Genomic DNA, 11,603 nt, shown 5'->3' on the forward strand with positions numbered 1-11,603 from the left:
TCAGCCAGACTCACAGAACACAGACACATATAAACACAAACACACAGACATGAAGACACAGACACACAAACAATATGCACTTGCACACATTGAGACAGAGGCACAGACACAAGTGCACTTGTGTCACTTGTTTCTAGTCAGGGCTCTCCCGAGATTGAGCATTCAGCCAGCTTGGCTTTGGTGGGTGGAAGTCCACATTGCTGAGCCCATGCACAACCTCCATCCCTGCCACCATGGCCACCTTGTTCATGAGCCTATTGGTGATGGCAGGGGGTGCTGGGGAAAGAGGCTGACTGGCATCCACAGACTGGGTCATCCTATCCAGTTGATTATTAAAATCCTCCTGTGCTGAGGTCATCCTTTGATGAGCATTCACATAAAACACAAATATCATCATGCTTTTTGTTGCCCACTCAGAGGAATCTGTCCACATGCCTCTTCCCCAATTTCCTTCTAACTAATTTTCCAATTATGCTCCGTCCAAGTCCCTGACCATCAGTCAAGCCATTAGCTACAGCCCATGAATATATATATTATCACACATCTGGCCATTTCTCCTTCCAAGCAGAGTTCTTGTCTGGAGTTCTGCCCACAGGGAGGATTTCCCTTTACCACTGTCCTTCCGGGATGTCCCAGAAAGGGGTTGTGGTGCTGCAGCCTCCACTTTCAGGTGGTGCCTGCCTATCATGCAGAACCATCTGTAAACCAGGCTAGAGTCTTCTCTTTCTCTTCTCTTTCCTTGATTGTAGGGAATTCCCCATGAGGCCATTAGTGTGTCTGGAAGAGGGAAGGCAGCTTAACAGGAATGGGAACCTTGGGCATCTGGTCCACTGCTTCATGTAACTTACTTGTGTCTTCAGAGCCTGCTGAGGCCTGATCTTGTATAGACCACTTCCATTGGTGATGGAGTGCAGCTGTGCATGCCTAAGTTTATGGCTTTCGGGGTCAGATAACACCCAGTTCATGATAGACAGCTCAGGGCGCATGGTGACTTGGTGGTCCATGGTTAATTAAGTGTTCAGCCTGTACTAAGGCCCAGTGGCAGGCCAAGAGCTGCTCCTCAAAGTGAGAGCAGTCTTCTGAGGAAGATGGCAGGACTTCACTCCAAAATCCTAACGGCCCGCACTGTGATTCACATAGAGGGGCCTGCTAAAGGCTCCACACAGTATCTCCATCTGCCACTGACACCTCAAGCAGCATAGGATCTGCTGGGTCGCATGGCCCACCTGGCAGAGCAGCTTGTGCAGCAGCTGGACCTGTTTCAGAGCCTTGTCTTGTTCTGGGCCCCACTCAAAACTAGCAGCTCTTTTAGTTGCTTGGTACCTGGGCTGGAGTAGCAGCCCAAGTAATGAATACGTTGCCCCCCAAATCCAAAGAGGCCCACTAGGCATTGTGCTTCATTTTTGGTTGTAGGAGATGCCAGAAGAAACAACTTATCCTTAGAAGGGCTTAGAAGGGCTTAATCTTAGAAAGGTTGCTAGGGCCCTAGAAATTTCACTAAGGTAGGAGACCCTGAGTTTTTTGTTGGATTTATTTCCTAGCTCTGACACACAAATGTCTTATTAGTAAGTCTAGAGTATCTGCTCCTTCTTGTACGCTCACTGGCTCTGATCAGCATCATGGCATCAATGTAATCGACCAGTGTGACATCTTGTGGCAGGAAACAGCAATCAGGATCCCTGAGAATGAAAGTGTGGGAGGGGGCTGGAGTACTGATACATCCTGAGGCAGGATAGTGCAGATGGACTGCTGGCCTTTCCAGCTGAAAACAAACTGCTTCGGGTGGTCTTTATTAGCAGGGACAGAGGAAAAAATAACATTTGCCGGATCAATGGCTGTATACCAGGTACCAGGAGATGTGTTGATTTGCTCAAGCAATGAAACCACATCTGGCACAGAAGCCTGTGATTGTAGTTACCACCCAGTTAAGCCTATGCTTAATTGTCATTCTCCAAGATCCATCTCTCTCCTGCACAGGCCAACAGGAGAGATGAATGGGAATGCAATGGGAATTGCCACCTCTGCATCCTTCAAATCTTTGATGGCAGCAGTAATCTCTGCCATTCCTCCAGTAATGTGGTATTGCTTTCTGTTTACTACTGGTGGGGGGTGGTTAGAGAAGGCACTAGTGGCTTCCACATGGTCTTTCTCATCATAATAGCCCTCACTATGTAGGTTAGGGAACCAATGTGGGGATTCTGCCATGTGCTGAACATGTCTTCAATTATGCATTCCAGAACTGGGGAAATAGCCATAGCATGGGCTCTGGGGCCATTGGACCCACTGTGAGATGGACCTGAGCTAAAACTCCACTGATCTCCTAACCTCCATAAGCCCCTATTCTGACTGGAGGGCCACAGTGACATATCAGGTCTCCTGGAATTAGTATCAGTTCAGAATCCGTATCCCGTAGTCTCAGAAAGGTCTGATTATTTCCTTTTTCCCAATGCACAGTAACCCTGGTAAAAAAAAAAAAAAAGCTGTAGATCCCTTTCGAGAAGGCTGGGAGAAATATTGACAGTATAAATGTTTGGGACTGTACTGGGGTTCTTTCTCAAAGGAAAGTGACGTCCCCTTCATTCAAGGGATTCTGGGTCTGTAAACTGGCTCAAGTCTTTGAATTGATTGAGGGAGTGTGACTCCCTGTTTTTATGATTCAGGTTCGAATTTTGTTCACTTGACCTAGAACTTTTCTGCTTATTCAGATCAACGAGGAATTTAATGGGTATCCTATCCATTTCACTTCTAGGAACACCATGATCAACTAGCTGATGTCATGGGTATATGGGAGTCAGACTACTTGATTGCTGCCTTGACCATGCCGTCCATCAGTATAACCATTCTCACCTTGTCTTTGGTGGTGCCAAGAATGCTGCCTCTTGGTCTCTGTCACCCCAGGATGCAAATACTCCCACTGCGTTTAGGTTTCCCAACTGAGTGGCTGCCATTTTGGCCCAAAGAGAAGAGTGACCACAGAGGTCTTCAAAGATGCTGGGGTTCCCCCTCACAAATCTATTTCTCAAAGGAGTTGTAAAAGGGGAGTCTTTTGGGCCTTCCCAGTGGGGGAGTAGCCCTTAAATAACAAATTCACTCTAACACTCCAATCTCCTAAAGCCTTTCAATCCTTTTCTCTACATTAAACCAAAGCAGGCCAGGCATTTTCAATTCACTTACTATGCGTCATCATTTGATCCATGTTTCAGCCAACCAACGAGCCAAACGGCTAAAGCCCTTTCTAACTCTCTGAGCTGCAACATTAAATGCAGAATTTTTGCTTAGTGAGCCTATGTCAATAAATTCAACTTGATCCAACTTTATGTTTCTTCCACCATTATATTATACAAAACCCTCAATATCTATTTTCACACATGTCCCCTAGATTTCTATTCACATAGATTAGAAAACCTGAGTAGCTCTTTAAGAGTTTAGCACATCTCCTCATGGGTCATACCCTGTACCTCACCTTGAGGGACCTGATGGGACTTGAGCCTAGGTATAGGCCTAGAAGCAAAGGGGGTGGGTCCTGAGAAGAATCAGTATTGTCTTCCTTCCAGGACAATTGTCATTACAGTTTCCTCAGGAAATGCAGAGTTAACTCCTGAGAGAGCGGGATGCACCTTTCACTGAAAATGGAAAGGCCTCTCCACTGGCAAAGAAGACCCATTAGAATTTAGGGGCTCAATGTCTCCAGTTTCATCAGAATCTTCCCACATGTCCCCATTCTAACTTATAGGATCTCATTTTTTCCCAGTCAATGCCCTCACTTTAACAGTCAACCTCAGCAAGGCTGAGAGTTCAACTTACATTCAGCCAATGGAAAGATGAGATTCTATGTTTGATTTTCAGCAATCTCAGCCTTGTGGCTTCAGGGAATACCAAGCAGCTTTCAGGTCATGTATGCAACACTATTGAGCTGGGAATTCAAATCCTTGAGTTCATCTTTTACTTTCACCACTTTGTCCAGTGACATTAGGAACAACCAGCCAACCCCATTATATTTGTTAGATTTACAAAAACGTTTGGAAGTATTATATGCATGGTCACCCAGAACTTGTTTCTTACAACTGATTGATTAGCAGAACCCAAAGAAGATATTTTTCATATTGTTATTGCCAGATCACACCAGCTCTGGCACACACACAGACTACCAATGCTCTCTTTACTACTGGAAATACAGTCACTAACAGTCTTTAAATCTAATCATATCAGAGAGCCAATTCCAGAAATTCCAGAACAAATGCAGAAAACTTATCCTTAAAATTTTATTCCTTTACAACCCCACTCCTGACAAAATCTGTATTAACCAGGGTTCTCCAGAGAAACAGAATCAATAGAAGTATAGAAAGACAGAGATAGAGACATATAAAAACATACATACATTTATTATAAAGAATTGGTTCACACAATTGTGGAGGCTCAGAAGTCCAGACCTAGGATAGCTGGATGGTATAAGTTCCAGTATAAGTCTGAAGCCCTGAGAACCAGGAGAGCCAATGGTGTAAGTTCCTCCACAAATCCAAAAATCAGGAGAGTCAATGGTGCAAGTTCCAGTCCAAGTCCAAAGGCAGGAGAAGACTGATGTCCCAGCTCAAAGAAAGGCAGAAAGAGAGAATTCTTTCTTACTCAGCCTCTTATTCTATTTAGGCCTTTAATGGATAGATGAGGCCCACTCACACTGGGGAGGGCAGTCTGTGTCACTGAGTCCACCAATTCCAATGGTGATCCCATCCAGAAATGCCCCCCAGACAAACCAGAAATATTTAACCAAATATATGGCCACCCTATGGTTCAATTTGACACATAAAATCAACCATCACAGCAAACATACACAGACTTACACACATGCATATAAGCACATATACATTCAGAAAATATTTACACACATTCACACTAGACAAAGACAGACTTCTGGACACACATGCATACAGACACAGAGACACAAACACATTTACACACATCTACACACATATCATGTACACACGCACACATTTCCCCAGAACCCATGACCATGTTACTGTAACAGTAGCCGCTCACTACTGTGGCATTTTATGACTTAACTGGGGCCACCATGTGCCTTTGTTTGCCTGGCAGGCCTCGGCATGGCAAGGCCAGAGAGTGTGAGCGACCATCACCCACATTCACAGATGGGAGGGCCTAGGCTGAGTGAAGCTGTAAGGACCGAGCCAAGTCCCACATCCACTCTGAGCTTCGTCCAGTGAGTCTGAAAGTGAGAAAAGCACATGACACTACCAGCAGCAGCAAGCAGTGACAACAATCTGCCCTCCCGGCTCCCTGGAGGGTAAAATCTGTTTCCCTGCCTGTGTTTGGTCATGGGCAAAGTCACCAATGCTGAGGCCCCTGAGGTCTTGCCTCTCCCTCTGCAGGAGTGAATCCCAGATGGGACACATGAAATCAGGGCACAGAGGCCTGGAGAAGAGTCCTCGCCCACAGCCCTGGTGCACAGTGGCCAAAAGCCAGAGGATTTGAGTTTCAGGACCAGCAGAGCAGGACAGGCAGAGCAATGGGGGACAGTCGCAGCAGCTGCTTTTTCCTGAATGCCACCTTCTACCATGTGCTAAATTCCTTTTCCTGGTAACAATCCTCACAACAAATCTCCAAGTAGGCAAAGACCTGAGAGGCCCTGAGAGATTATGTGGCTTGTTCAGTCCTGCAAACCCAGATCTCCCTGCCTGAAATCTGGTATGACCCAGCAGGACCCACCTGGGGCACAGCTTCCCTGGGATGGTGTTAAAATGAAGGTTCTGACTCTGACTCTGATGGCCGGTCAAGCAGCTCCTCCCGCCATGACCTTCAAGGCCCAGGTGTCTCCCTCTCCTTCCCACTGCCTACACCGCCCAGTTCAGAAGAGGGTACAGGAACTCGCCTGAGGCTGAAGCCATAACTGCCAGCTCTATTCCAAGCCCTGAGCATTTACACTGAGGAAGTCTGCAAATCCTCACCACAGCTTCTAGGGGGAAACTGAGGTTGGGAGGGACTCTTCCTTGGCTAAGGTCACCGAGGTGTTGGGAGGCAGAACAAGGGTTTTGATGCAGGCCACCTGGCTCCAGGGCCCCACCCCAACCATGGGCTGAACATGGAAATGAATGCTTAGGCCAGGAAACCAGAACCTCTGGGTTCTTTCCTCCTGGGCTGCATACTGTTCTTTCCCCTCTTTTATAGAATTTGAGCCAAAGATGGAAAGTGATCAATTGCTTCATCAGCAAACCCTGCTCATCTGTTTTCCAGGTGCAGAAATCACCAAAGGCAGGGGGAGGACACGTGCTGAGATGTTCATCCTCGGAAGCTGCAGTCAGGACCTACCTTCCCATGGAGTTGCCACAGCCAGATGCCCACTCACCCCATAGGGAGAGAGAGCCTCCTGCCTGGGGCCACTTGGAACACCAGAAGTTTGGGCAGGAGGGGTATACGGTTTGGAGAAGAAAATCAAGTGATTTCTCAAAACTGGTTATTCTAGTTAGCAATTCATCTAACTTTTTTTTTTTTTTGACCTGATGTTGTTGAAAAACACAGCATGAGAACTTTGTGAAGCATACACAAGTATCATAGCCAAATCAATCAAGTGGAAGAAAGGATATCAGAAATTGAGGATCAACTTAATGAAATAAAGCAAGAAGACAAGATGAGAGCAAAAGGAATGAAAAGGAATAAACAAAGCCTCCAAGAAATATGGGACTATGTGAAAAGACCAAATCTACATTTGATTGGTGTACCTGAAAGTGACAGGGAGAATGGAACCAAGCTGGAAAACACTCTTCAGGATATTATCCAGGATAACTGCCCCAACCTAGCAAGACAGGCCAACATTCAAATTCAGGAAATATAGACAACACCACAAAGATACTCCTTGAGAACAGCAGCCCCAAGACACATAATCATCAGATTCACCAAGCTTGAAATGAAGGAAAAATGTTAAGGGCAGCCAGAGAGAAAGGTTGGGTTACCCACAAAGGAAAACCCATCAGACTAACAGCAGATCTCTCTGCAGAAACCCTACAAGCCAGAAGACAGTGGGGGCCAATATTCAACATTCTTAAAGAAAAGAATTTTCAACCCAGAATTGCATATCCAGCCAAACTAAGCTTCATAAGTGAAGGAGAAATAAAATCCTTTACAGACAAGCAAATGCTGGGAGATTTTGTCACCACCAGGCCTGCCTTACAAGAGCTCCTGAAGGAAGCACTAAACATGGAAAGGAACAGCTGGTACCAGCCACTGCAAAAACATATCAAATTGTAAAGACCATTGACACGATGAAGAAACTGCATCAACTCATGGGCAAAATAACCAGCTAGCATCATAATGACAAGATCAAAATCATAATAATAATATTAACCATAAATGTAAATGGGCTAAATGCCCCAATTAAAAGACACAGACTGGCAAATTGAATGGAGTCAAGACTCATTGGTGTGCTGTGTTCAGGAGACCCATCTCACATGCGAAGACACAAATAGGCTCAAAATAAATACATGGAGGAATATTTACCAAGCAAATGGAAACCAAAAACAAAGCAAGGGTTGCAATCCTAGTCTCTGATAAAACAGACTTCAAACCAACAAAGATCAAAAACGACAAAGAAGGGTATTACATAATGGTAAAGGTATTAATTCAACAAGAAGAACTAACTATCCTAAATATACATGCACCCAATACAGAAGCACCTACATTCATAAAGCAAGTTCTTAGAGACCTACAAAGAGACCTACACTCCCACACAATAATAATGGGAGATTTTAACACCCTGTCAATATTATAACAATGAGACAGAAAATTAATAAGGATATTCAGGATTTGAACTAAGCTCTGGACCATGCAGACCTAATAGACATCTACAGAACTCTCCACCCCAAATCAACAGAATATACATTCTTCTCAGCATCTCATTGCACTTATTCTAAAATTGACCACATAATTGGAAGTAAAACACTCCTCAGCAAATACTAAAGAATGGAAGTCATAACAAACAGTCTCTCAGACCACAGTGCAATCAAATTAGAACTCAGGATTAAGAAACTCACTCAAACCTGAACAACTACATGGAAACTGAACAACCTGCTCCTGAATGACTACTGCGTACATAATGAAATTAAGGCAGAAATAAAGATGTTCTCTGAAACCAATCAGAACAAAGACACAATGTACCAGAATCTCTAGGACACATTTATAGCAGTGTGTAGAGGGAAATTTATAGCACTAAATGCCCACAAGAGAAAGCAGGAAAGATCTAAAATTGACACCCTAACATCACAAGTAAAAGAACTAAAGAAGCATGAGCAAACAAATTCAAAAGCTAGCAGAAGACAAGAAATAACTAAGATCAGAGCAGAACTGAAAGTGATAGAGACATGAAAAACCTTTCAAAAAATCAATGAATCAAGGAGCTGGTGTTTTGAAGAGATCAACAAAATAGATAGACCACTAGCAAGACTAATAAAGAAGAAAAGAGAGAAGAATCAAATAGATGCAATAAAAAATGATAAAGGGGATATCACCAGTGATCCCATAGAAATACAAACTACCATCAGAGAATACTGTAAATGCCTCTAAACTAATAAACTAGAAAATCTAGAAGAAATGGGTAAATTCCTGGACACACACACCCTCCCAAGTCTAAACCAGGAAGAAGTCGAATCCCTGAATCGATCAATAACAAGTTCTGAAATTGAGGCAGTAATTAATAGCCTACCAACCAAAAAAAAGTCCAGGACCAGATGGATTCACAGCTGAATTCTACCAGAGGTACAAAGAGGCGCTGCTACCATTCCTTCTGAAACTATTCCAAACAAGAGAAAAAGAGGGAATCCTCCCTAACTCATTTTATGAGGCCAGCATCATCCTAATACCAAAACCTGGCAGAAACACAACAAAAAGAAAATTTCAGGCCAATATCCCTGATGTCCCATCAATGTGAAAATCCTCAATAAAATATGGCAAACTGAATCCAGCAGCACATCAAAACTTATCCACCATGATCAAGTCAGCTTCATACCTGGAATGCAAGGCTGGTTCAACATATGCAAATCAATAAACGTAATCCAGCATATAAACAGAACCAATGAGAAAAACCACATGATTATCTTAATAGATGCAGAAAAGGCCTTCAACAAAATTCAACACCCCTTCATGCTAAAAACTCTGAATAAAGTAGGTTTTGATGAACTGTATCTTAAAATAATAAGAGCTATTTATGACAAACCCACAGCCAATATCATACTGAATGGACAAAAACTTGAAGCATTCCCTTTGAAAACTGGCACAAGACTAGGATGCCCTCTCTCACCACTCCTATTCAACATAGTGTTGGAAGTTCTGGCCAGGGCAATTAGGCAGGAGAAGGAAATAAAGAGTATTCAAATAGGAAAAGAGGGAGTCAAATTGTCTCTGTTTGCAGATGACATGACTGTATATTTAGAAAACCCCATCATCTCAGCCCAAAATCTCCACAAGCTGATAAGCAACTTCAGCAAAGTCTCAGGATACAAAATCAATGTGCAAAAATCACAAACATTCCTATACACCAATAATAGACAAACAGAGAGTGAAATTATAAGTGAACTCCCATTCACAATTGCTACAAAGAGAATAAAATACCTAGGAATACAACTTACAAGGGATGTGAAGGACCTCTTCAAGGAGAACTACAAACCACTGTTCAAGGAAATAAGAGAGGATACAAATAAATGGAAAAACATTCCATGCTCATGGATAGGAAGAATCAATGTTGTGAAAATGGCCATACTGCCCAAAGTAATTTATAGATTCAGTGATATCCCCCATCAAGCTATCATTGACTTTCTTCACAGAATTGGAAAAAACTACTTTAAAGTTCATAGGGAACCAAAAAAGAGCCTGCATAGCCAAGACAATCCTAAGCAAAAAGAACAAAGCTGGAGGCATCATGCTATCTGACTTCAAACCATACTACAAGCCTACAGTAACCAAAACAGCATGGTACTGGTACCAAAACAGATATATAGACCAATGGAACAGAACAGAAGCCCAGAAATAACACCACACATCAACAACCACCTGATCTTTGACAAACCTGACTAAAACAACCAATGGGGAAAGGATTCCCTATTTAATAAATGGTGTTGGGAAAACTGGCTAGCCATTTGCAGAAAACTGAAACTGGACCCCTTCCTTACACCTTATACAAAAATTAACTCAACATGGATTAAGGACTTAAGACCTAAAACCATAAAAACCCTAGAAGAAAACCTAGGCAGTACCATTCAGGACATAGGCATGGGCAAAGACTTCATGACTAAAACACCAAAAGGAATAGCAACAAAAGCCAAAATTGATAAATGGGACCTAATTAAACTAATGAACTTCCACACAGCAAAAGAAACTGTCATCAGAGTGAACAGGCAACCTACAGAATGGGAGAAAATTTTTGCAATATATCCATTTGACAAAGAGCTAATGTCGAGAATCTACAAGGAACTTAAACAATTGACAAGAAAAAAACAACCCCATCAAAAATTGGGTGAAGGATATGAACAGACACTAAAAAGAAGACATTTATGCAGCCAAGAAACATATGAAAAAACGCTCATCATCACTGGTCATTAGAGAAATGCAAATCAAAACCACAATGAGGTACCATCTCATGCCAGTTAGAATGGTGATCGTTAAAAAGTCAGGAAGCAACAGATGCTGGAGAGGATGTGGAGAAATAGGAACGCTTTTACACTGTTGGTGGGAGTGTAAATTAGTTCAACCATTGTGGAAGACAGTGTGGTGATTCCTCAAGGATCTAGAACCAGAAATACCATTTGACCCAGCAATTTCATTACTGGGTATATACTCAAAAATCATTCTACTATAAAGACACATGCACACGTATGTTTACTGCAGCACTAGTCACAATAGCAAAGACTTGGAACCAACCCAAATGCCCATCAATGGTAGACTGGATAAAGAAAATGTGGCACATATACACCATGGAATACTATGCAGCCATAAAAAAGATGAGTTCATGTCCTTTGCAGGGACATGGATGAAGCTGGAAACCATCATTCTCAGCAAACTAACACAAGAACAGAAAACCAAACACCGCATGTTCTCATTCATAGGTGGGAGTTGAACAATGAGAACACATGGACACAGGGAGGGGAACATCACACACCAAGGACTATCTGGGGATCCGGGGCCAGGGGAGGGATAGCATTTGGAGAAATACCTAATGTAGATGATGGGTTGATGGGTGCAGCAAACCACCATGGCACGTGTATACCTATGTAACAAACCTGCATGTTCTGCACATGTACCCCAGAACTTAAGTAATTAAAAGAAAAAGGAAAATCAAGTGATTTTGCTTTTGAAAATTCCTGCTAATGTTTTTCATGCAACATCTCTTTCGTGTGTGGCTCAGGGGTAGAACATTGCATCAGGATTTGCTCATGGGTCTCATGTCTCTTCCTCCTCCCCCAGCAAATGACGGCTGCTCGGAAACTTTTATAAAGGAAGCGGTTGCTTTGTGGCTGATAGATCTGAAGGTGAAGAGCTTCTGGCCAAAATGATTCAGCAGCAAAACACTCCCCTCCCCAGCACCACGCAGGCAGCCCCCTAGCCCC

General features: G+C 43.1%; 1 annotated feature.

Moving 5' to 3' along the window:
• Window positions 11,352-11,401: an enhancer, noted in NCBI's record as "active region_17652". NCBI's record gives its function as "activates an Ori minimal core promoter by ATAC-STARR-seq in GM12878 lymphoblastoid cells {active_cell/tissue: GM12878}" and the evidence as "EXISTENCE:reporter gene assay evidence [ECO:0000049][PMID:35858748]".

This window comes from Homo sapiens, chromosome 20 (genome assembly GCF_000001405.40).
Source record: "Homo sapiens chromosome 20, GRCh38.p14 Primary Assembly".
NCBI classification, from domain to species: Eukaryota; Metazoa; Chordata; class Mammalia; order Primates; family Hominidae; genus Homo; species Homo sapiens.